We start from the raw sequence: 26,981 nt of genomic DNA, 5'->3' as shown, positions 1-26,981 counted from the left end.
ATGCACTCACAAATTTGCTTACACTCACAAAAATCACACACACAGACTCCCATGCACTCACATGCATCACATGCACACTCAGACACATGCACTCACACACTCATCACATGCACAGACACATGCACTCATGCTCACACATCACCTGCACAGTCACATACTCATGCACTCACACACATGCATCACACACATGCATTCACAAACTTCCTCACACACCACATGCACACTCAGACTCACATGCACTCACATTCGCTTACACACAATCACACCCACTCAGATTCACATATACTCACACATTTGTTCACACATGCCATGCACACTCACATGCACTCACACTTATCACACACAGCTCACATATATTCACACTCACCTCACACGCACCCTCACGCTCACTCTCACAAATATCACACACACGCACTCACACACTTGCTCAGAGACTCACATGCACTCAAAAATTTGCTTACACTCACAAATGTCACACACTCATGCACTCACACTCATCACACACGTGCTCACAAACTTGCTTACACCCACACATACATACACTCACACATTTGTTCACACAAATCACACAGACTCATGCACTCATACTTGCTCACACACATCACACTCAGACTCACATGCACTCACACACACACATCACACGCACACTCACAGACTCACATGCACTCACTCGCTTACAGCCTCCTCAGCTTTCATCCCTGAGGACGCCACCCCTGCTGCCCTGTGACTCAGAGGCTCACAAGGAAGAGGCACCACATGACGGATCTGGCAAGGTCCCTCCCCCTCCCGCCACCCCATGCTGAATGAATCACAGCCTCCTGTTTATTTAACCACTTCAAGAAGCTGGGTTTCTTCCAGGGGCTTTCTTAGGCAGCAGGGGGCATGCAGGGGAAAGGGGTGGAAAGAAAGCAGGGCCCTCTCTACTAGTGATGTAGAGAGGGGAATGCAGGGAGGGCGTGCAAGGAGCGTCCGTGGGGAGCTGGTGTCCCCATGTTGTGCGTGGGCCTTGGGCATACAGGGCCCATGTCGCAGCCCTCAGGGTCCCGATGGGGCCTCCTACATCCAGGACTGGAGAGGGGCTGCCACTTACACAGGAGTGTGAAGCTGCACTAGACTAGGGTCCTGGCCCCAAAGAAAACAAGAAGCTGGTTCAAGCCTGGTGCCAACACAAACCCTTTATCTGCCCTAAAAGTGAAGCTGAGGCCACCAGGCTTTCAGGTGGGCTTCAGCAGCCCCCAATGCTGATTCACACCTGCACCAGGCCTGCTGAGGGGGCTGCTGTCCCAGAGAAGGTGCGGCTTCGGGTTGTGCTTTAGTGCACAGACAGCAAGGGTACAACAGGAAGAAAAGACGCTGTAGGGAGAGAAAGAAGACAGGGGAGGGAAAGAAGATTTGATCCATGATTTCTGCCATGCAGTCAGTGCTTCCATACACAGATGTGTGCACACGTATATGTACGTAGGTCTTGATTTATTTGAGTATGAGCACATTTAGAATTTGGATGACACCAGAGTGGCTCAAGGCTTGCACTCCAAACTTGAAAGAAACAAATCTTTTTCTGTGCTAGAAAAATTTAGCCAATTAAACAAAAACACCAGTTCTATCTTTTTTTCTTGTAATGCTGAAGAAATCCATTTTGAGACTTGGGCATTTTTAATTTTCAATTTTCCCAAGTGCAGCAAATTTCTTTTCAGGGATTGACATTAAGGATATGTGGAGTGTCAAAATTCACATACGCAATGGTTCTTCAATTCTATTATGAAGTTAGAAAACAGATGAAGTACTTAGTGCCCCTCCCAATATTTGTCTAGACCAAACTAGACACAAAAAATGACAACAAAATAATTCAATTAACCAATACTTTTGAACAATGGAAAAACCTTCAGTTATTTGTGTTTTTAATTACAGGATGGATTTGTAAATGCCAAAGGTTCTGAATGTATTTTGAAGTTAATTCAATGATTAGTTTCTCCAATAAAACTTTTGCTCCCCTGGCAGACAGGAGCACAAGGAGAAAGAGGACCCTCGCCTTAGGGGTGACAAATGCTGGCATCTACGCACAGCCATTTGCTCTCATTGTCCCTGAGTTCTGGTTTCTCTTACCAATGTTTGCACATCCGAGTTACAGAGAGAAAGAAAGGAAAGCGCTGTAGCAGGAGCCGGGCTGTGATTTAGGCAGATCATATTCAGGTTGGTGTTAGCCAAATTCCATAACACGCAGACCCCTGGAGATAGGAAAAGGAGCACAGATTCCCTGAACAACTGATTCAACACACCAGCTCTGTTTGTAAAGCATTTCTATGCCCATAAACAGACCTGTGGATCTAGCATCCCAGCACTTTTACTTAGATGGAAAAAGTCTATGCTCTCATTCCAAGCAGGCACCTCCCTTCTTTCCTGTCCTCTGAGAAGACACACAGACAAGGGTGCTGGGGTTACAGCACAGGAGAGGTCGGAGGGTGCGTGGCTGGCACGTAACCGTCAGTGACTCTGAAAGGATATCTCCTGTCCGAGCCTTCAGCCTTGCCAATGTGCATGGGGCAAGCCCAGGGACTCTGCCAGCCCCTGGTGAGGGTCTGTGGAGACAGGGCCAAGAAACGGCTAGAACAGCCTCTCAGCCTGGCTGCTGAGCCTTGGTACGAGCAAATGTAAGGGGCGTGTGGCTGGTCCTGTCAGGTCAGCAGCCAGGGGACTCCAGGAGCCTTCCACAGCCAGGGCAAGCAGCTGCCCAAAGCAGAAGACACAGAACAGCCTGCAAGTCTCCTCAGCAGGCAGAAAAGTTGCTCATGGGCCTCTTAGCAAAAGAGAAGATGCTCACCAAATGTGCTGTTTTGGCTGAAGATATGAAAGCAAACCCAGTGTACCTTTGGAGGGAGAATATAGCTTCATGTAAATAGCCAGTAGCTTTCTAAATGTGCTCTCCAGAGCTCTGGGTTTCCTGAAAGTCCAGGAACGAGGCAGGAGCTTGGAGGAAATGTTCTTTGGTTTTCTATGCATGCATTGGTCTCTGAAGGGGCAGAGCAGCTCTGTGGCGCTGGACCCAAGACCTTTGGACCGTGGGTGGGGAGCGCCTGAAAAACAATAGCACGGAGCTGGGCAGAGCTCCCCTGGCCCAGCCGCTGTCTCAGGTTGAACATCTGAGACCTTGTGAAATGTTTGTAGGTAGCCAGATGGCCTTTGAAAGGATCTGGAGAAAAGGTCCCTTACATCAGTGTAAGGTAAACTCTGGGATGTATTTTTCTACCATTATCCCTGAACTCTCAACAAAATTGTATTAAAATATGTAGACTGGTTTCTGCTGTACTATGTTGGATTTGGGAAACAGGAGATGAGGTAGATCAATGTATCTGCCAAGGCCAGGGTGACGGCAGGACCAATGTCACTGAGAGAGCACAGCTTCACAGAGGAGCATGGTTTCATGTCAGGACAGCAGGGTAGCAGGTGATGCTCCAGACACCACTGGGAGACCTCTGTCAGGGGTGCTGTGCTTACAGCAGGCTGGCTTAGTTAGAGCAGTTCAAGGTAGCTCTGGCGGCAAGAGTGATCTGTTATATACAAAATGCGTAGAGATGGAAGGGCAATTAAGATTAAGATGATGACAGGCAAGACAGTTCAGATAGTGATTCTTTTGCTTTAAAGACATTGAAAACAATGGGTTTCCTTTCTAGATATCTTTCTTCCTACTCTAAGTTAAACACCAAAGAACAAATTCAACTGGAGAAGTGCGCCATCAAAGCATGCCTGTCTCTTTTCAGACGTCTGGAACTGGTTGGGGAATCAGGGCTCTGGGGGAGTATGGATGGAAAATCATGCGAGGAGTCATCGGGTGTCTGAGGCTGTTTTTCTAAAACCATAAAGACTTGGGTTCCCAAAGATGGTTTTGGAAGTTGAAGTATAAACCAGCCAAGGCTGTTAGAAGCCATGCTTCAGAGACTAGAAGACACTGTAATTTTTCTGCATCATTTTATAAACACATGCACATTGATTTTTAGGTCTGTCATACACACAGTGGGAGTCAGAGGACCTGATGTCCCCACACCAGAAAGCCAACTTTTCCCACTCTGAATGTCCCCGCATTCTCAGGAACAAACCTGCAGCAATGACCCCGAATGGTTTATCTCAGAGGTTTATTTTGGAACCTGAAGACCAGAAACTAGTTCAGTCCCTGCTCATCTTTCTCGCCCCGAAACCCTCTCCAGAGGAAGAAGAGCCCCCACTCATGTCATCCCCGCACACTGAGGGAGGCTGCGTTGGGCCCATCCCTCCAAGATCCACTCCACCCGTGTGGACTCCTCCAGGAATATTCTTCACAAGAGCAGTAGCTGCTCCTGGGAGTGCATTTTCTCTCAGATGTACCAGTGAGGGTCACCTGCATGAGTGGAAGCAAGACCATGAGATGCAGAGGAGGCAACCAAAGGGCTGCCCTTTTTCTGCACTGGCTCCCTGGGCAGCCTGTGGTGCAGCCCTGCCCTCAGCGGCAGCTCTGAGACATCGGACATTGCCTCTGTCACTTTACAGAGTACAGACTGATTATAGTTCAGGACTTCTCCCTTCTCTCCAATGCAAACAACACACAGAAAAAACGAACGGACTTGCTATTAAGTAAGAAGGAGGGGCACAGATGTAGCTCCCAGAATCAAAGAAAGGGATCTGCATGAGCTTCCAGTGCTGCTGTAACAGCTACTACAAATGCAGTAGCTTGACAATATCACATTTATTTGCTTAAAGTTCTAAAGGGCAGAATTCAAAAATGAGTCTCACTGGGCTAAAGTCAAGGTGTCAGCAGGGACATTTCCTTCTGGAGGCTTCAGCGGAGAATCAGCTTCTTTATCTAGCATGGTTTCGAGAGGATGCCTGCATTCCTTGGCCCATGGCCCCTTTTCTGTCTTCAAAGTGCATTGCTCTGACCTCTACTCCGCTCCCATCATCACGTGGCATTCTCATTTCTCTCTATCTCCTCCTGCCACCTCTCATAAAGAACTCTGTGATTATGCAGATGACCCATGTGGATAGCCCAGGGTCTTCCTTTTTTTAAGACCCTATCCTAGTCCATTTGTGCTGCTGTAACAAAATGCCACAAACTAGGTAATTTATAAATAATAGAAATGTATTTCTCACAGTTTTGAAGACTGGGAAGTCCAAGATCAAGGTGCTGGCAGATTCAGTGTCTGGTAAGAACTTCCTCTTTGCTTCTAAGATGGCATCTTGCTTCTGTATTCTCACTTGGCAGATGGTGGAAGGGAAAGAGGGACGAACACTGTGTCCTCAAGTGGCAGAAGAGATGGAAAGGCACTTTTGTAAGGGCACAGACCCATTCATGAGGGGCTCTGCTCCATGACTTAATCACCTCCTAAAGACCCCATCTGTTAATGTTGCCACATTGGTGATTAAGCTTCAACATATGACTGTTGAGGGGGCACATTCAGGCCATGGCAGATCCTTAACTTAATCACATCTGTAAAGTCTGTTTTGCCATGTAAGGTCTCATAGTTATAGGTTCCAGGATTAGGATGGGGACATCTTGGTGGGCCACTGTTCAGTTAACCATAGGTTCCAAGGTCAGAGATTTCAGGGACTGGACTCAGACACAGATCTCAGAGTCCCTGTTGGCAGGGGTCCCTCTCTTTGTCCCCAGTTTGCTGTTTCTCTGTGCGCGTTCATGATTTACACAGTTCTTGTACCCATTTCAGATTCTCCTGGTCTCATCTGTCCTTGCCGCCAAGATGGATTATCTGCAGGAACTTGGACCAACTTCACGGAACCTTCCTTATGTTCTGTTCATACTGCCCAGACCTGCCCTGGCTTCCCTGTTGCTCCTGAGGCAGAAGAGGCCTTTGGACTTACTCGGCCCCACATCTGTACAGTCCAGAGATGCTGGGGGAATTAACACCACAAAAGGTTGACTTTAGATCAATGTGAGACAAGTATTTCAACTATGATTGTGTATTTGTCAGTGCCTCTTTGTAATTCTGTGAGTTTTTTCCTTCATTTATTTGATAACATACTGTATAATAATGCACATTTTAAATTCTCATGTCTTCCTGGTTAACATTTTTATTTAGTCCTAATGTCGTGGGCTTCTTTGCTGGGGATTATGGTGTCAGCATCCTTTTAGGGATCATTTTTCTGCCTACCACAACTATGATTAACTTTTTGCCAACAATTTTGAGAATATAGGTGAAGTGTGTATTTTCTTGGGAAAAATCTGGTTGCTTATTTTAATTGGTAATACAGTAACACTTCCTTTTTGTTGATTCTTGATCTGGGATGTAAACATTTCTTCTTTCAGTGTTCAAATTTTCTTGTCATTTCATGTTATGTGTTTCTGTTGTAAAGTGTATATATATTTGAATTTTGTTTTATCATCCAATATGAGAGTCTGTTTTGTGAGTTTAGTTTCTTTATATTTATTGAGCGGCCATTAGCTTTGATTACTTGATACTTCCTTAAGTTGTGATTTCTAATGGCCATGTTTCTTTTTCCACATTTTTTGTTTCCTTCTTTTTTCCTTTTACTCCCTTAATGGTTTCAGAGTCACACACATTCTCTTGTCTACTGTATTATGTTCAGTATATTTGGCTCCTCTCTCTGCAGAGCTTCTGCTTCAGGAGGATTAGACTTACTGGCTCTATTGAGCCAGCCATAGCTGACTTTCTCTGGCTGATGAAACATATGTGAAAGTGACGGTGTCACTTCCAAAGAGAAGCAACAAGAGCCAGCACGTGGCTCCCCAGGTCTCTTCTCCCTCTGCTGAGTGGCACAGAGAGGCTGCTGGGTGGCCGGCATCCTAGAGTGATGCTGACAGAGAAGACGGCCTCTGCTGACCCCCAGTGGACAGGCAGCAGAAGCGTAAAAGAAACATTTGCTAGTAGTGTAAAGCACCAAGATCTGCAGGCCATTTGTTAGCGCAGCGTGGCTTAGCTTATCCTGACTGGTATGGTAGTTCCGATAAGCAAGTAGGAGGATTTTAAATGCCTTTATTTCACAATCATCTTAGATTGCTAGTTTAGACCGCTAAACTTTTAAATATAATTCAAGTGCTCTACAATGACTTTTCTGCTTCTAATAAATGTTTGACTATATTAAAATTGTTTATCAAAAATAAATTTGAAACTGTTCAATAAAAAGAGATTGATAGTTTAGATAAGGGTAGGGTTCTAGATTTACAGTGATTTTCATTCATCCCTGAATCTCAAATACCTTTCCAATAGCTACCACTAATATTAACTGTTATGATTACTTATTGGCTGCTTCCTAAGAACCCATCACTTTGCTAAGAGCTCCACATTGTTTTCTCATTTAATCCTCACAACAACCCAATTTAGCAATTGAGGAAACTATGACTTAGTGGCAGTTAAGGAACATATATATGAGCACAGCTAGTCAATATTAATAGCAGAGCAAGAACTCAAAGTCAGGGCTGCCTGATTTCAAAATTGTGTGCCATGCTGTTGTACCAATAAGCCCCTTCCATGGTACTCCACTGAAGAACAATGTGTGCCAATGCAAAGCAAATCTAGATCACAGTTGTTATTTCTATGATCACTCATCAAATATATACTTGCCCCTGTCTCCCATTATGAGTGGAGTCTACTTCCCTGCCCTGTGGGTTTTTCCCTTGTTCCTGTGCTTACACAGAGCATGGGATGTCAGCAGTCTTGTGAGGGGAGGATTGGCACAGGGCTGTGAGGTTTAGCTTGCCCTCCAGTGCATGGCTGATCCACTGGGAGAAGAATGTGGCCAGACAGCTGTGGAGCAAAACTGAACCCAGAATAGAGCTCAGAGTCAAGTCCCCCTGAAGGTTAGGCTGAAGTTGAGCCATCCATATCCTGCCCCATCAGCCAAGCCGTGGCTCTTGTGCTCACCCATGAGCATGAGAATACAGCTTTTTGTTGTAAGCCATTGAGTTTTGCCTCCTTTACAAATGTTATTTTAATTTTTTAAGTAGCACAGTAATGATTATTCCTGTTCCCAAAATGTTTTGTCACATCCTAGATTACTTCTTTAGAAAGATGACTAAGAGAAAAATTACTGGGCCCAGTGAATGGGATTCTTGAGGCATTTAATATGCTCCTTTCATCTGAACGTTTGACACTAAGGATTTCAAGATGTCTCTGTTTTCTTTCTGAAACTTCATGTCTAAGTGATCATTATTATCCATGGCCTCAGGCTCAAGGAAGCTCTCTGATTTCTTTCCTCTGTGTCAGTCGGTGAGAGAACTAAGACCACTAAGGTCACTGGCTTTGCCTTGATGCATCCACCATGCCACTGCGGGAACCTAGGCAAGCAAACACCTCACTTCCGCCATTTACAAAATGGAGACACCCAGCCCCATAGTTTTGCGAGGATGAAGTCACATATATTGAGAACACAGCAGTGTACTAAACTAAAATAAAGAACTTAATTCAAGCAATACATACACAGGCAAAAAATCACCAGCTCTCCGAGTTGGAGTCTCTCTTCCCCTTCTGATGACGAAAGGACTAATGACCACAACCTACTGGTGCACCTGGCATATCCACACCTGACTCCCAGCAGCTGCTGTCAGGGTGGACGTGAAGGCCAAAGGCTGGGGCTGAGCAATTTAGCATGTGGTTCTTTGAGAAATCTCACAAAAGCTTCTTTTATCACTTGAGGACACATCACCATCATCACCATCAGAGATGACCATTAGTTTTCATTAATGGCATTAATATATTAATATATTTCCCCACTTGCTTTACAAAAAATATGGAAGGTAGTTACCAAAAAACATTCAGGAGAAAGAGAATTAAGTACAAGAGCTGGGTGTGTGGGCAGTAAGTAGAGGGAAAGGGGAGCTGGCAAGTTGAACAAGAAGGAAAATGAATGCCACGTGCCTGTGAACAGCTGCTGGGCTCTGTATTCAGTTTGAGCTCTCTACAAGCCAAGGCAAAATGATGGAAGTAACCAATTGTAAGATACACAGTATCCACAAGGCCCTCTCTTGACACCCATATCAGAGAGCAATTTCTCACTTAAAACATTACTTGGTGATACAGGGCACAGCCCTTTCCATATTTCAGTAGAATACACGAGTCGTTTTCTCTGCCTCCTTCTCATACTGTCGCCCCAGAGGCACAGGCCCCAAGCAAGTGCACAGTGAGGGCTGAAATGGAGAGACTGTAAATCCTCAGAGCTGCTGCCCCAAGCATCAGGGTGCTCAAGAATCACTGGGGTCTTGTTAAATGCAGATTTGATTCAGTGTGTCTGGACTGGGGCTTCCAGGCGATGCCCAACTTGTGGTCCAGGAAGCACACTTTGAGAATATTTTTCACAACTGAACCTTTCATAAAACCTGGATACAGAGTGTTTGGGGTTAATTTTCTGATGAGAGCTGGGTGCTCTCACATTCTATGCGGCAGTCAAAGGCAGGGCCACATGGTTTGAATGTGCAGGGCCAACCTAACGGTCTCTGATGATATTAACAGGCTGGACCAGGGCTGGAGCTTGCAGCTAAAGCCACTGCACTTCTCCAAGCAGAGGGGCCATGGCACTGCTCACCCCCTAGCCATTCCCTTATGCCAACACTGCAGGTGACCGGCTTTTATTCTTAGTCGATGTCCAGGATAATTTTGTTAGGTTTTGTATATTTTAATTTTTGCTTAAATTTAGCATACATGTGGATTTGATCATTTAAACTGGTGAGTGACAAGTGTGTGACAAGCCCCTAAAATAACGCCTTGGCTGGGTCTTTTAAATAATTTTTGTTCTCTTCATCCTCACAAAATAACTAATGGGTACTGCGCTTAATACCTGGGTGATGAAATAATCTGTATAAGAAACCCACATGACACAAGCCTACCTATGTAACAAACCTGTACATGTACCCCTCAACTTAAAATAAACGTTAAAAATTGTTCTTAATTATTAGGAATTCAGCCTCTAATTCCCCATAGATTTTCTTCCTTGCCAAGTCTTAGTAAACTTATCCATTCCACTCATATGACAAAAGAACTGACGACTCAAGGGCCAAACAAACTATTTAAAAAGCAAGAACATGAAGAAAACCTTTTTTTCAAAAATATCTAATAACTCAAGAGCACTTCTTCGGCCCTTAGAAAAGACTTATTTAAGCCTTTGAAGGGACTGCGTTTCAGCCAGCAGTGATGGTGATCGGACATTCAAGGAATGAAGTGGTAGGAATGACCCTACACACCAAGTGAGTTATGGCAGCACATTGTAAACAACAAGACACCGGGTGACAGCGAGGAGTGAGAATCAAGCAGATGTTTGGCTCTGGCTAAGCACATGCTTTACACATCTCAACTCAAGAGGGTTTTCAAACACAGCATCAACCCCATGTGTTTGGTTTTCCTTGTCAGAGCCCTTCTGCTATCTTGAGGAAGGGATGGGTGGAAATACAGAAAAGCTGCCCTGCACAGATTCCTGCATCTACATCCACAGCTCCAGTCACATGAAAGACACCAGACGCAGCATCAAAACATTTAGCCAAGATAATGTTGACAATGTAAGATAATGTTGAAAACTAAAGCTTCCTAATCTTTTGAAGTTGGTCCATATTAAATTGCCTCAGGCAAAGTTAAGGCAGTTGAGGCCACACTCCCATATTTCCATTTACATTCTTTGTATTTTATGACAGAAATACATTGAAAATCTTGTTCACCAGTCTGCTAAAAATCAGGGTTATAAGGGGAGACATCCAACAGGCTTAAGGCTCCCAAATGGATTTGGAATTTTTTGGACCTTACTCGATTGACCTCATTCACTGCCCAACCTCACAAACAACCTAATTCAGTTTTCAAACCATGTTATTTAACCGACACAGGATAGCCATGAAGAGGTTCTTATTACCTTATGCATTATTATGCACTGGGCATTTTGCCCTTTGTCCTGAATTGCTCTTCTTAGAGATCAGGTGCAGGTGCACAATTAGGAGAACATTATTCAATCAAAACTGTTTTTGGCAATTCCTCCCATCATGTGACTCACAAGTTAAAAATGGTCCAGTTCCTCTTTCATTTAGAATGAAATCTTTTCCTGCAGCTCCACCCAGGAGAAAAAATCATGATTCACATTCAGGATGCACATATGCTGGTCAGGTGGGTGCACACAACATGCTCATTCAAGTCCACTCATTTCTTAAAAAGATGTCCAAAGACTCCTGGCTTCCCACTATCTCAATTGACCCAGGAGAATGTCATCAATCATTTACATGAATAAAATGTCCACCCTGGTTTTAGCTTGTCTTTAGATATTTGGATAAAACTACACAATCTTTTCCACTAATTTTGAAAGCTTCCTTTACTTAGAGAAGCAACAAATTCAGAGGAAAGTTACTACTTTGCTCAACCACAAATATGATGCAGATTACTCAAAAGTTATTGACTCTAGCAAAACGGCAAACCCTTACCTTTCTCCAACTGCAGTGATAGCAAGGGTTCTCAGGTGAGAGGAAATCCAGGCATGGCATTTGTTAACAAGGAGGTACTTACTCCAGTTCATGGGCTGCTCAGCTAAGAGGCAATAGATGCCTTTCTTCCCCCTGCTTTTCAATGCAGAGTTTAATTGTGGGTTGTAAAAATCCCCCAGACACACTAAAAGCTAGAAGACTCCTGGAAAACTGCTAATCTCTCCAGGAGGTGTATTTGCCCTTGCTGCTATCATTTGGATGGATGGGGGCAGTGGGGATGGATGCTATCAGGTGGAATTCTGTTCTTCCTGCTTTTGCTATAAAAGGTGGAGACAGGTTAAGGGGAGGGGAGTCCTGGTAACTGTCCTAACATAACCAGTGCCTGAACATTCCTTCAAAACAGCCTTGATCAGTGGTTATTGAACTTGGCTTCAACGGTATCTGACTGATGGGATCCTCACACTATCTGAGACCATCTAGACCATCACCAACTGATACGCACAAGTTGTGTGGCTACTGAGCACTTGGAATGTGGAAGTCCAAATTGGGCTGTGCCACAAATGTAAAATACACATGGGATTTCAAAGATGTAGTATAAAGAAAAGAATGTAAAATATCTCATTAATATTTTTGTATTGATGACATGTTGAACTAATAATATTTTTGATTGGCTAAATAAGATTGTTGTTAAAATTAATTTTATCTGTTTTTCTTTTTCACCTTTTTACTGTGGCATCCAGAAAATTTAAAGTTACATATGTGAGGTGTGTCTTCTAACTCTATTAGACAGTGCTGGTCTAGGCAGTTAAATAGCTCTTCTTTGTGTTGAGTCAAAACTGGTCTTTCTAACCTTCTTGATTTTGCCTTCTGAAGCAATAAACAAAATTATTCCACATGGTGGTCAGTCCAATATCTGAAGACAATCATCATCCCCACCCATCTTTTCTTCTCATGCTGAATAGCCTTTCCTTTTGCAAACATTCCTTCTATGACATGTGTTAAAAATTATTTATCCAAAACTTGGAAAATGTCAAAATGATTGTTGTTATCTTTCTGAACAATTTCTTTAATAAGCCCAGTTGACCTTCATTGAGCTCTCTCAGGGAGTGTAACTTTGATTTTACAGGGCTGTAAAACATCTGGTTCCTTATCAGTTACGGATAGTTGCTCTGAGTTTAACTTGCAGAAAGTAGAGAGTGAGAAATGTTCTTATAACCTGAGATGAAAGGCAAAAATTCTGCAAATGGATTTCTGGGAATTATGTGAGGACATTAAACTGAGCTTCTTCTCATGCCCCTGCATCTAGCTGTTGGGGACCTAACTCCATATTGGTTGTGGCTCAGTTTAGTGCATATTCCATCTCTTGGAAGAAAGCATGCCAACCCGTCATGCTAGTACAATTGCTGAGCCTTGAATAGGCCATTCCACCATTCTATTAAGCTAGATACTTCTGTGTAAGGAAAACTTAAAACCAATGAAACGGTCATGCACCCATTGTCACATCTCCCTGTTCATAAAATGGGTCTCTTGGACTGACGTGATGCTCTGTAGGATTTATTGTTAATAGATGAGACTTTTGTATGTTCTTAGAAGGTGGTGCTGGAGAAGGCACTCACAGTGCATGTAAGGCAAACCCATACTTGGAGTAGGTGCCAATTCCAGTAAGGATGTGACGCTGTTCTTCCCATGGTAGAAGGGGCCAATATAACCAACTACTGGTATCTTCAGTGCTGCCAAGTGGTATCTAGTTTCCTTCTGGAACAGTCATAGTTGACGGCTTCACATCACTCTGCACTGACTCCAGGTCCACAGAGGAAGAAGCAAGATCAGCCTTGGTGATGGAGAACTCACGCTGCCTGGCCCATGTGTAAACCCCATTCCTGCTACTATTATGACTCTATTTATGGACACATTGTGCCAACACAGGGATGAGTGAAGACAGCCTGGCCCACAGGCAAAAGACAAGTTAACTTGTCCACTTCATAGATGACTTTTTCCCGGTCTGGTGAGTGTTCTCTGGTGGGCATTGATGTGAAACACATAGATTTACTTACTGTGCGCCCACTCCTACAAGTCCATTCGTGATCTCTTTCCCAGACCTCTTTATCTCCAATTTCCTGATCTTTCTCCTTTCAGGCCTCTGATACACAAGCCTAGCCACTTGCCACTGTCTTATACCTAATGTTAAATGACGAGTTAATGGGTGCAGCACACCAGCATGGCACATGTATACATATGTAACTAACCTGCACATTGTGCACATGTACCCTAAAACTTAAAGTATAATAATAAAAAGAAACAGATGCAAAAAAAAGACAAAAAATAAATAAATAAAGTTCATTCTGCTGGCTGCTGCTACCTCTGTTCAAAGTGAATGGCCAAATGCACGGCTCAAAAATCTGTCCACTTGGAGTATTTCCCCTCACTGCTATCCTTTATGTCCACCACTGAGTGGGCTTGAAATATGGCAGGAGTGCATTTTTAGGCTTGTATCAACATGTCAAGCTGACCTGTTTGTGAATCAGGCCTGGGTTTTTGCTTCCTCCATCAGCAAGTCAGAAGAAACCTCCAATAAAACTATACATGTGAATTGAGAGAGAGGTGTTGGTACAACAGAGGTAAGAGCTATGAAAGTCTAGGTCACCTGATTAGCTATTTGTAATTGTACGTGCTTGGATCTGCTATCAAATTTACCATTTTCACTGACCAATAAATTTCTGCTGTACCCACAAACTTTTAAATCTGAAAATAGGCAGTTACAGCCCACCCATTGAAATCCTAATTTTGTTTTTCTTTTGGAGAAATTCTAGTTAATTCTTTTTCATATATGCCAGGCATGTTTTGATGTCTCTTGCTCACTCTTCATATTTTAATGTCTTGACTTTTAAAAATATTTGAAAAAATTATTTAAACATACACTTAAATAGTTTCGTAAAATAAACATGTTGTTAAACATGCTTTAACATACTTAAACATATAAAACATTTTCATAATTATAATTTCACACCCAATGTCTTTGAGGCTTTAATTCTATGGCTTTTAATTTATGCTGATTCCTATTCATAATGGCTTATTATGCACTGTTTAGTTTTGGATTGTGAACTCATCTTTCTTGGAACCCTATCTATGGCAATTCATTCAGGCATTGAGCTAAATATATTGCCAGGTATTTGCTTTTGTTTCCAGACAACCTTCTGAAGACAGACTTGTGTACTCACATCCCCTTCCCATTACTTCTTACTTGCTCCCCTACTGCAGAATCTTCTAGAGTGGAAGGATTTTTCTCTAGTTCATCTTTCCAAGGCATTATCTTTAAGATGTCCTACTGTATGTGAGTTGAATGATCTTACTTACCTCATCAAATATAAGGTTTTGTCTCCTGCGCCCTTCATATCAGTGGCCCCAAATAACAGAGGTTCTAGGCCATCAAGATTGGTGGCTCCAGTGCTAGAGTATAGTTGTTTCTGGCCTTTGAGAATGTCCCTATTTTACTGTCAGCTCATCGATGTATATTTAAAAATAACTTTAATACTTTAAATAGCGTTTTAGTTGTTCTAGACTGGGAGGTTTTCTCCAGACATTTAATTAACTATATTAGCAGAAATAGATGTTAACCTTATATTTTAGCATGCACATTTAACTTAAAGTTTAAAATTAATTTGTATCTTTTCCCCTACATGAACATTTCAAAGATTTAGGATTAACATACTGGACAATAATAGTTACAAGTTTGGAGGCATCTTATTTTTAAATGGTTCTAATTTAATAACTCTCAATCAAGGGTAGGGACGATGAAAATCTTCAGAAGACTTTTTCAAGTGTTACTACATGTAATGAATGTGTCGTATATGTTAATAATATGAAGGCCAAACAATGTTGAGAATTAAGTGTTCTCATTGATGAAATCATCTTCTTATAAAATTGGCTCTAGTATTACTGACCTATACATCCAACAAAAATATATATAAATATATATACAAAACTATATATATGTATATATTCTAAATTTAGTTTATGTTCTTAAAAGGAAACTTTCTTTTACAACCACAGTAAAATCAACAAAATCAGGAAAATCAGTGTACTATAAAATGATCTCATCCAAAGGCTGGAAAACTTTCTACATAGGGTCAAATAGTAAATATTTTAGCCTTTAAAGAACATACAGTTTGTGTTACAACTACTGAATTCCACTGTTGTAGTGTGCAAGTAGCTACAGATGATGCATAAATCAATGGGTGTGGCTGTGTTCCAAAAACACATTTGCAAAAATAAGCATTGACCTGGTTTGGTCCCACAAGCTATAGTTTGCCAACTCCTGATCTAATCTACAGAGTTAATTCTGATTTTGCTAATTTTCCAATCATGCGCGTTATAGCATTGCGTTGAGTTGTGCCTCTTTAGTTTCTTTTGATCTGGATAGTTTTTCAATCTTTCTTTGTATTTCATGAAATTGACATTCCTGAAGAATGCAAGATAGTTGTTTTTGTAAATTATCCCTCATTTTGGGTTTGTGTGATGCTTCTTCATTATTAGATTCAGGATTTACATTTTGGACATGGATACCACAGAATTGATGTGTTCTCTTCAGTGGTTTGTAGTAGAAAGCACATGATGCTGAAGTGACTCATTACTGGTAAAGTTAACTTGGTTAAAAGGGTCATCCACTAAAATTTTAGTATATTCTTCTTTAGAAAATACTTGTGGGAAGGGAGTTTGGGTCTGTAAATATTCTTAATTCCCAAGCTTTAACCCACTAGTTTAACGTCCATTGATGAACCTTTCCTGTATTAATTATTATCATTATGGTTTCCCAGTGGTGATATTACAAGTCCATTCATTCTACATCTGTTAGTTGGAACTGTTCTTCAGTGCTATTTATTTGTTTATATCCATATGGAATAATGAATTCTTATGTAATTGAACAGGTTATAATCCTTAACTATCATTTATTTTGATGCTCAATCTGTCCCTAATTTGGCCAGACAGATCCCCTTTCAAGCTGGCTCTAGTGTCCTGTTAGTATGTCTTCCAATTCTTTAAGTTCCTCCTTGCTTTCTGGCACAAGCTGTTTTAAGCGGTTCTCTACTTACAGACCTGAAACCAACTATTTCTCCAAGGAGTCCTGTGTCCTTTTAAAGAAATAGCCTTGGTTTCATTGATTTTATTAATTGTAAGGTTTTTATGTTGCTTATTTCTGTTCGCTTCTTTATCTGGGGCTTAATTTGCTCTTCTTTTTCTAAGTTCTTAAGATAGAAGCTTAGATAACTGATTCTAGATTTTATTTTAATAAAATAAGCATTTTAAAACATGAATTTCACTCCAAGTAGGGCTTTAATCCCACAAATTTTGTTATGGCTGTTTTGATTTTCATTCATTTCAAAATATTTCCTCGTTATCCTTGTAATTTCTTCTTTCACCCATGGGTTATTTAGAAGTACATTTTAAAATTATTGAATATTTGGGGATTTAAAATATATCTTCTGCTATTGATTTCTAATTTAATCCTGTTATAATCAGAGAACACATAATGCATGATTTCTAACCTTTTAAATGTATCGACACTTGCTCTGTGGCCCAGCATATGGTTTATCTTTGTGAATGTGTTATTCTGCTGTTGTTCGGTGGAGTGTCAAGTAGGTTTGCATGGTAATAGTGTTGATCATGTCCTCTATATCCTTATGTATTTTCTAATGTTCTGTTAATTACTGAAAAAGAAGTATTAAAATATCCAACTGTAATTGTGGCTTTGTTGGTTTCTCTTTTCAGTTCTATCAGCTTTAGATTCATGTATATTTGAAGCTCTGTTGTTGGAGGCTTATACATTCCGGATTATTATGTCTTCCTGATAAACAGGCCACTTTATCATTTTGAAAGGTCTCTCTTTATCCTTTGTAACATTCCTTGTTCCAATATTGACTTCATCTGATATCAACATAGCCACTCCATATTTCTTCTGTTTAGTGTTTCCATGACATATAATTTCATTTATTTTACTTGTAACCTCTTTTTAAGTATAACAGATTTCTTGTACACAGAATATAATTGGGTCTTGCATTTTTAGTCAGTATGACAACCTCTTTTTGGTTAGAGCGTTTGTAATTATTCATATGATAGTTTTAAATCTCTCATCATGCTATTTGTTTTCTGTTTGTTTCATCTTAGTTCCTTTCCCCCTCACTTCTTGCCTTATTTTGAATGGAATGTTTTTTAAATTATTATTTCATCTATATCCACTATTGGACTTATTTGTTATATCTATGTTTTCTTTACTGGTAGTTATTCAAGAGCAGTGAGGTCCAATAGAATTTTCAGTAATGATGGAAATGTTCTATATTTATGCTCTCAAATATGGTAGCCACATGTGACTACTGAGCATTTGATATGTAGTTGGTGCCACTGAAAAAGTGAATAATTAATTTTATTTCATTTTCATTAATTAAAATTTAAATTTAGTCAGTTGTGGCTAGTGGCCACCATATTGGACATTTCACGCTAGGCTTCAATATCTTTTCCTTATTATAATTTAACTTTACTGTATTTTACCACTTACTATATAAGACCATTACAAAAGTATATATCCATTTCCCTCTTCAATTCTTTGCACTATTGTTGTCATATATTTTACCTTTACATATTAAAAATCCTACATTATTTTTGCTTCAAATAGCTATCTTTTAAAGCAATGAAAAAATAAAGACATTTTACCCACATATTTACTATTTCTGATGTTCTTTATACCTTCATATAGATCTAAATGTATCTGATCTGATATGATTTTATTTCAGTTGGAAGAACTTCCTTTAACATGTATTTCAGTGCAGATCTCTTGTTGATGAACTCTTTAAGTTTTTGTTTGTCAAAAAAAAAGTTGTTTTTTTCCTTTGACCTTAATTTTTCAGGACATTTTTACTGGCTTTAGAATTCTAGTTTGACAGTTGTTTTCTTTTAGGCCTTTAAAGATGTCATTCCATTATCTCATTGCTGTAAATTCTTATCTTTCTTTTTATGTAATGTGTCTCCGCCTACTCTAAGATACAGCAACTCCTTTAAAATTTTAAAAAAAATTTTTATCGGTTGTCCAGCAATTTTATGATGTATTTTGTACAACATATGTGTGTGTTTATTCTAGTTAGCATTGATTGAACTTCTTGGATCTGTGAGATTATGTACTATTCATCAAATTTTTGGCTAATTCTTCAAAAAGCTTTACTTCATCTTAGCTTGTGGGGACTCTAATCACACTTGCATTAGACCTCTTGATATTAATCCACTCATTTTTAATTCTTTCTTTTCCTCTAAACTTCCTCTGAGATATATCCTGTTCCTTATAATTCATTGATATTTTCTTCTGTAGGGTCTATTCTGACATTAAAACAATCCAGAGAAATTTTCATTTCAGATCTTGTATTTTTTTAATCTGTAAAAGTTTCACCTTGGTCTTTTATATCTCTTCTATTTCTATACTCATTGTGTTTATGTTTTCCTTTATATCCTTAAACACTTAAAGTATATTCATCATATCTGTTTTATCATCTCTGTTTGCTATTTCCATCATTCCTTTCATTTCTGTGTCTGTTTCTAGTAAGTGATTTTTCTCCTAGTTATAACATTTTTCTTATTCACATAATGTCTAATAATTTTTTATTTGTTGTTGAGCATTGTGAGGTTAGGTTGTAGAGTGCTGAATTTTGAAGTATGTCTTCAAAGAGTGTTGCAACCAATTATGTAACTTGTGGATTTAGCTGTTTTGAAGCTCTTTTAAACTTTTGTACAGAAGATCTATATTTACCTTTAATTTAGGGCTAATTTAGCCCCACTACTAAGGTGTGGCCCTTCTGGAGTCTCTAGTGAACACTCCATTTAGTCAATGAGGTCTTCTTACTATAGATGAAGGGATCTTGAATGATTTCTAGCTCTTTGTTAATTTTTTTTTCTCATAGTTTTCCAGTAATTGTTCTTTCCTTGGAAGCTATTCTTGCCCACCTCATGGGATTTCACCCTACACATGAGCAGACTGGCACTCAACCAAAGACTCAAGCAGATGTCTATGCAAATATATACAACTATTTCTCTGACTAGTCCCCCACCCTTTATCAAACTCCACCCTACAAATTTTAGCTCCCTCAGCCTTTTGAATCTATGCTCTTCAATTAGTAAGATTGCCACGCTCTATTTGAGCTCCACTTTGCTGAGCTGCAGTGTTATTTGCCCCCAGGCAGAAAGCATAGTAGACTTTAAGGCTTACCTTCTTTGTTCCTCCTCTCTCCAGAATTACATCTAGTATTTCCAGTTGTCTGATGTCGGAAAATAATCATTTCCTATACTGCATGCATTTTTTAAATTTACGATGGGAGGATAATTCTGAATCCTATTAGTCCGTCAGAGCCAAAGTGGAAGTCCCTAATTCCTTTTAGTGGAAAATGCTTCTAGAAGCAAGGATCTGAGGGTTAGGTGTGCTTTTTGCTACACAGTCATCATTTTTGTGGTGATAGCACATAACATTGCTCTATACATTTTTCAAGAATACAATATACCTTGCTGTACAACAGAGCTCTTGATATTTATTCCTTCTATCTAATTGTAATTATGTATGCTTTGACCAACATGTCCCCAGACTACCTTAACCTAACTTCCCCAGGCTCTGGTAACTGCAATTGTACTCTCTACTTCTATGAGATCACCATTTTTAGATTCCACATATGGACAAAATTATGAGGTATTTGTCTTCCTGTGCTTGTTATTTCACTTAACTTGATGTCTACCAGGTTCATCCATGTTGTCATAAATTTCAGTTTTTATGGCTGAATAGTATTCCATTCCACATATATACCACATTTTCTTTATCCATGCATCCATTGATGGACACTTAGGTTAATTCCATATCTTGGCTATTGTGAACAATGCTGTGATCAACAAGAAGGGCAGATTTTTTTTAACATACTGATTTCATCTCCTTTGGATATGAACATACTATTTTACATAAAGCTGTACCATTTTACACTCCCACTAACTGTTTTTAAGCATTCACTCTTCTCCTCATCCTCATCAACACTTGTTAGCTTTTGTCTTTTTGATAATGGTCATTTTAATTGGGGTGAGGTGACATCACTTTGTGGTTTTGATTTGCATTTCCCTGATAATTTGATAATTAGTGATGCTGAGTATTTTTTCATACATCTATTGGACCTTGTATGTCTTCTTTGAGAAATGTTTATTCACGTCCTTTGCCCATTTTTTAAATGGGCTATTTGTTTTTTGTTAAGATCTTTGCGTATTTTGAATATTAGCCACTTGTCATATGTATAGTTTATATGTATTTTCTCCCATTTCTACAGGTTGTCTCTGAACTCTGTTGATTGTATCCTTTGCTATACAGAAGCTTTTTAGTTTGATGTAAGCCCATTTGTCTATTTTTGCTTTCATTGGCTGTGCTTTTAAGGTCTTATCCAAAACATCCTTGCACAGACCAATGTCATAAGGAATTTCCCGTGTTTTCTTCTAATAGTTTCATAATTTTAGATCTGACATGTAAGTCTTTAATCCATTTTTTATTTTTTATACGGTGGAGATAAGGGTCTCATTTCATCTTCCACATGTGAATATCCAGTTTTCCCAACACCATTTATTGAAGAGAATGTCCATTCTCCAAGGTGTGTTCTTAGAATCTTTGCCAAAAATCAGTTGGCTGGGCTCTCTGTTCTGTGTGTCTGTTTTTATGCCAGTACTATGAGTTTTTGGCTATTACAGCTTTGTAATATACTTTGAAGTCAGAGAGTGTGATGCCTCCAGCTTTTTTTTTTTTCTGTCAAGATTGCTTTGGCTATTTAAGGTCTATTGTGGTTCCATATCAATTTTTGGATTCATTTTTCTATTTCTGTGAAGAATGTCATTGGTATTTTGACAGGGATTGCACTGAGTCTGTAGGTCACTTTGGGTAGTATGAACAATTCAACAATATTAGTTATTCCAATTCATTAAACACAGTGTATCTTTCATGTATTTGTGTCTTCTTCAATTTCTTTAATCAATGTTCTGTAGTTTTTATTGTAGAGGTCTTTCACTTCCTTGGTTAAATTTATTCCTAAGCATTTTTGTAGCTATTATAAATGGGATTGCTTTCTTGATTTCTTTTTCAGATGGCTCACTAATAGTGTACAGAAATACTACTGATTTTTGTATGTTGATTTTGTATCATGTGACTTTACTGAATTTGTTAGTTGTAACAGTTTTTTTAAGTGAAATATTTAGGGTTTTCTATATATGAGATCATGTCATCTGCAAACAGGGACAACTTAATTTCCTTCTTTCCGATTTTGGTGCCTTTATTGCTTTCTCTTGCCTAATTACACTGGCTAGGATTTCCAGTATTACAATGAATAGAAGTAGTGAAAGTAGGTATCTTTGTCTTCTTCTAGATCTTAGAGGAAACGTTTTCAACTTTTCCCATTCAGTATGCTGTTAGCTGTAGGTTTGTGGTATATGACCTTTATTGTGATGAGGTACATTCTTCTATACCTAATTTGTTGAGAGTTTTTATCATGAAGGAATGTTAAATTTTGTCATGCTTTATCTGCATCTATTGAAATGATCATATAGATTTTGAACTTCATTCTTTTAATGTGATGTATCTTATTTATTGATTTGCATATGTTAAACCATCTTTGCATCTCTCTTGCATGAATCTTACTTGATCATGATCTTTATAATGTGCTTTTGAATTTGGTTTGCTAGTATTTTGTTGGGAATTTTTGCATCAGTGTTCATCAGCATATTGACCTGTAGTTTTCTTTTTTTATTGTATCCTTGTCTGATTTTGGTATCAGGGCAATGCTGGCCTTAATAGAATGAGTTTGAAAGAAGTTTTTCCTCTTCAGTTGTGTGAAATAGTTTGAGTACAATTGATACTAATTTTTGTTTAAATGTTTGGTAGAATTCAGCAGCAAATGCTCCTTAGTTTTGCCAGGTGACAGGATCACAAATATTAACTCAGTGTATTTTTCATTTGCATTTATCTTATTTTATTGTAAATGAAGTTGAACATCTTTTTCTATGTTTAAGGACCACTTCTGTATTGTGTGTGTGTGTGTGTGTGTGTGTGTGTGTGTTTGTGTTTGTGTGACTTATCTGTTAAAATCTTTTGTCATTTTTTCCCATTGGTTGTTGTTTTTTAATTCCCTCAGTTTTTGACTTTTTATATTAGAAATATTACTAGCCCTTTATGTTGTAAACATTTTTTCTCAGTTGCTAGATTTCCATTTAAATTGCTTGTATTTTTGGCCATGCAAAATTTATTTTTATTTAGTCAAATGTATTCTTCTTCTTTTAAAATTTATTTTTTAATTGACAGATAATAATTATACATATTCATGAGGTACACAGTGATGTTTTAATACATATAATGTATGATAATCAGATCAGGGTAATTAGTATCTCCATCATCACACACATTTATCATTTCTTTGTATTGGGAACATTTAATAAACTCCTTCTAGCTATCTGAAACTATGCAATATGTTTTGTTAACTATAGTCATCCTACAGTGATACAGAACACTAGAATTTATTCTTTCTATCTAGCTGTAATTTTGTGTCCTTTTATAAATATCTCCTTATATCTCCCTTTCCCTTACCCTTCCCAGCCTCTAGTATCCTGTTACTTTTTTACTTCTATAAGATCAACTTTTTTTTTTTTTTAGCTTCCACAGAGGAGTGAGAATATAGAGTGATTAACTTTCTGTTCCTGGTTTATTTCACATAACATAATGTCCTTCAGTTCCATCCATATTGCTGTGAATAACAGGATTTCATTCTTTGTTGTGGCTGAATAATATTCCATAGTACACTATACCACATTTTCTGTCGTTGAACACCTAGGTTGATTCCATATATTTGCTATTATGAACAATGCTGCAATAAACATGGGGGTGCAGATGTCTCTCCAATGTAATAATTTCCTTTCCTTTGGATAAATATCCAGTAGTGGAATTGCCGAATCATATGGTAGTTCTATTTTAGTTTTTTGAGGGACCTCTATACTGTTCTCCACAGTGGTTGCACTAGTTTGCATTCCTACCAACAGTGTATAAGAGTTCCCTTTTCTCTGCTTTCTCACCAGCATTTTTATTTTTTACCTTTTTGATACGAGCCATCCTAACTGGGGTGAGATGATAACTCCCTGTGGTTTTGATTTGCATTTCCTTGAAGATTATTGATGGCCAACATTTTGTTTTATTTATCTGTTGGACATATTTAAATCTCTTTTTGAGAAATGTCTGTTCAGATTATTTGACCATTTTAAAATCAGATTGTTTTCTTGATATTGAGATGTTTCAGTTTCCTGTATATTCTGGATATTAATCTCCTGTCAGATGACTAGTTTGCAAATATTTTTCCCATTCTGTAGGTTGTCTTTTCACTCCACTGATTGCTTTCTTTGCTGTATAACAGCATTTTAGTTAGATATAATCCCATTTGTTTATTTTTGCTTTTGATGCCTGTGCTTTTGAGGTGTTACTCATTTTTCCCCGACTTATATCCTAGGTTTTACTCTCCTAGACCAATATCCTGAAGTGTTTTCCCTCAAGTTTTCTTTGCCTAGCTTTGTCATTTTGGGTCTTACATTTAGGTTCTTAATCCATTTTGAGTTGATTTTTACGTAGGGTGAGAGGTGCGGGTCTAGTTTCAGCCTTTTGCATACGGATATCTAGTTTACACAGCACCATTTTTTAAAGAGACTATCCTTTTCCTAAAGAGTGTTGTTGGCACATTTGTCAAAAATCAGTTGGTTACAGATATTTGGATTAATTTCTGTGTTCGCTATTCTGTTCCATTGCTCTATATGTCTATTTGTATGCCAGTATAATGCTGTTTTGGTTACTACAGCTTTGCAGGATATTTTGGCATCTGGTAGTGTGATACCTCCAGCTTTGTTCTCTTTGCTCAGGATTGTTTTGGCTATTTGAGGTATTTTGTGATTCTATACAAACTTTAGGATTAATTAAATCCAGATTGGGAGCCAGAGAAGCCTTTCCTTTGCCTAGGTTAAAGAGGAATTCACCCATTTTTCTTCTAGTACTGGTATGGTTTCATTTTTGTTTAACATTTTCTTCAAATTTTATTTTATTTTTTATTTTCTTCTTCATCTTTTAGGTTAAGGGGTACATGTGCGATAAACAGTTATTATGATTAATATAGGCTAATTTAATCTTTGCTTGTATGGTCAATGTTTTTAGCATTTATCCTAAGTTTGGAAGAATATTCTCCTATGTTTTCCTTAAAGTGTTAATAATCTTATGTCTATAATGCATTGGAGTTAAAAAAAAACCTGTATTATTCTAAGAGATATCTAATTAAATAGCACAATTAAAATAAATAATCTTGTCCCTCCCTGCTCCCTGTATTGCAATGTTACCTTTGACAACAAAAGTCAGTTCTGGTGTGACTTTATTTGGGGTCTGTTTGGATCTTTCTATATTCCCCTGGTCCCTTTGTTTATCCTACATATGTCTTCACTAATGTAGCTTTAAAAGTCTTGATCTCTGGTGATGTAAGTCATCTAACGTCCTTTGTAAAGACTGCCTTGGCTATTTGTGGTCTCTTATAGTCATCAATAAATTTTAAATTCAGCTTGTCAGCCTCCCAGGTAGCTGGGACTACAGGCGCACGCCAGCATGCCTGGCTAATTTTGTATTTTTTCTTTTATTAGAGATGGGGTTTTGCCATGTTGGCGGGGCTGGTCTTGAACTCCAGGCCTCAGATGATCCACCCACCTCGGCCTCCCAAAGTGCTGGGATTACAGGCATGAGCCACCACACCCAGCCCTATTACCAACTTTTTTGCTTTTTCACTACTGCTGTGTATAATTTGTGTTTTCTCCTTATTATTCTTGCTAGAGACTTAACAATTTTGTTCCTTTTCAAAGCCCCAATCTGTGGTTTTGTTGACTTATTTCTATTGTATTTTTATTTACTATTTCATTGATTTTTGGTCTTAATGTTTCCCTCCAACTTTATTTGTATTTGATTTGTGATTATTGGTTTTCAGCCTCTTTTCTAGTAATTGCTTTTAAGTCTATACATTATCTCCAATCTTAGCCTTGGATGAAGTCCTTAAATATTTCTAATTTATGTTTTCTTTTATGTCTCTCAGGTCATTGAGAAGTATACTACATAATTTCTTTCTTTGAGAGATGGTCTTACTCTGTTATCCAGGCTGGAGTGCAGCGGCATAATCATGGCCCACTGCAGCTTTGACCTCCCAAGCTCAAGCGATCCGCCTGCCTCAGCCTCTCAAGTAGCAAGGACCACAGACATGCACCACCATGCCCAGCTGACTTTTTAAAATTATACTTTTGTAGAGACAGGGGTCTATGTTGCCCAGGATGGTCTTGAATTCCTGGGCTCGAGCGATCTTCCTGCCTCAGCCTCACAAAGTGCTGGGATTACAGGTGTGAGCCACTATGCCCAGACAACTACATAATTCCTAAGCAGTTAGAGATTTCCTAGTAATCTCTATGGCTTTATTGATTTCTAGCTTAATCCCACTGTTTTCAGAGAATGCACTCATTTTGATTTCTACTCTTTGTAATGTATTAGGGCTTTATGGTCCTTTATGTGTTCAATTTTGGTAAATGGTTTATACAGCATAAAATGAAATTATATTTTGTCATTGTTGGTTAGTGTTTTATGTATCCCAATTAGATCAAGTCTGTCACCTTTGCTATGTTCTTTGTGATATTGTCTGTTCATGCCATCAGCTAATGAGAGGTGTATTATGTCTTCCAGTATGATTATAGATGACTCTTTTCTCCTTTTAGTTCGGTAAACTTCCACTTGATTATATTTTGAATATAAAATTAGAATTGCTACATATTCCTGTTGCCTTTTGGACTGATCTCTGTAGAATAACGGACATCCAAAAATGTCTATATTTGAATCCGTAGAATCTCAGGTTATATGGGAAAAGGAAATTAAGATAGCAGACAGAACTAGATTGCTAATCAGCTCACCTCAAAATAGACTGAGTATCCTGAGTTTCCAGGTGGGCCCAATATAATTACAAGGGTCCTTCAAAGTGGAAAAAAGGAGGCAGAAGAGAGAACCAGAGATCGAGCAGTGTGAAAATAACTCTACCCAATGTTGCTGGCTTTGAAGGTGGAGAAAGAGGGGCATGAGCCAAGAAATGCGGGCGGCCTCTAGAAGCTGGAAAGGGCAAGGTAACAGCTTGTCCCCTAGAGCCTACAGAAAAATATGCAGCCCTATTGACATAAGCCCAGTGAGACCCATTTCAGATTTGTGGACTGCAGAACTGTAAGATAATACATCTGTGTTGTTTTAAGCCATTAAGTTTGCAGTAATTTGTTACAGAAGGAAACTATATGCAATCTTTTTCATTAAAAATTACTTTCTATCTCTAATAATGCTTCTTGCCTTGAGGTCTACTTTGCCTAATACAATCACCCTTCGATATTCACAGGGGATATACTTGGCTTCAAGACTGCCAAGTATACAAAATCTGTAGATCAGAGTCCTTTATATAACATAGTATTTGCAAATAACCTATACACATTCTCTCGTATACTTTAGATTTAA

The 26,981-nt window shown here is 38.9% G+C and overlaps 3 annotated features.

Moving 5' to 3' along the window:
• Positions 563 to 1,122: an enhancer, noted in NCBI's record as "H3K27ac-H3K4me1 hESC enhancer chr2:238036745-238037304 (GRCh37/hg19 assembly coordinates)". NCBI's record gives its function as "activates a minimal SCP1, AML or CMV promoter by ChIP-STARR-seq in naive H9 embryonic stem cells {active_cell/tissue: H9 hESC(naive)}" and the evidence as "EXISTENCE:reporter gene assay evidence [ECO:0000049][PMID:30033119]".
• Positions 2,100 to 2,614: an enhancer, noted in NCBI's record as "H3K27ac-H3K4me1 hESC enhancer chr2:238035253-238035767 (GRCh37/hg19 assembly coordinates)". NCBI's record gives its function as "activates a minimal SCP1, AML or CMV promoter by ChIP-STARR-seq in primed H9 embryonic stem cells {active_cell/tissue: H9 hESC(primed)}" and the evidence as "EXISTENCE:reporter gene assay evidence [ECO:0000049][PMID:30033119]".
• Positions 2,615 to 3,130: an enhancer, noted in NCBI's record as "H3K27ac-H3K4me1 hESC enhancer chr2:238034737-238035252 (GRCh37/hg19 assembly coordinates)". NCBI's record gives its function as "activates a minimal SCP1, AML or CMV promoter by ChIP-STARR-seq in naive H9 embryonic stem cells {active_cell/tissue: H9 hESC(naive)}" and the evidence as "EXISTENCE:reporter gene assay evidence [ECO:0000049][PMID:30033119]".

The sequence above is a fragment of the Homo sapiens genome, chromosome 2 (assembly GCF_000001405.40).
Source record: "Homo sapiens chromosome 2, GRCh38.p14 Primary Assembly".
In the NCBI taxonomy this organism is placed as follows: domain Eukaryota; kingdom Metazoa; phylum Chordata; class Mammalia; order Primates; family Hominidae; genus Homo; species Homo sapiens.
This window is presented reverse-complemented; position numbering and strand designations above follow the sequence as displayed.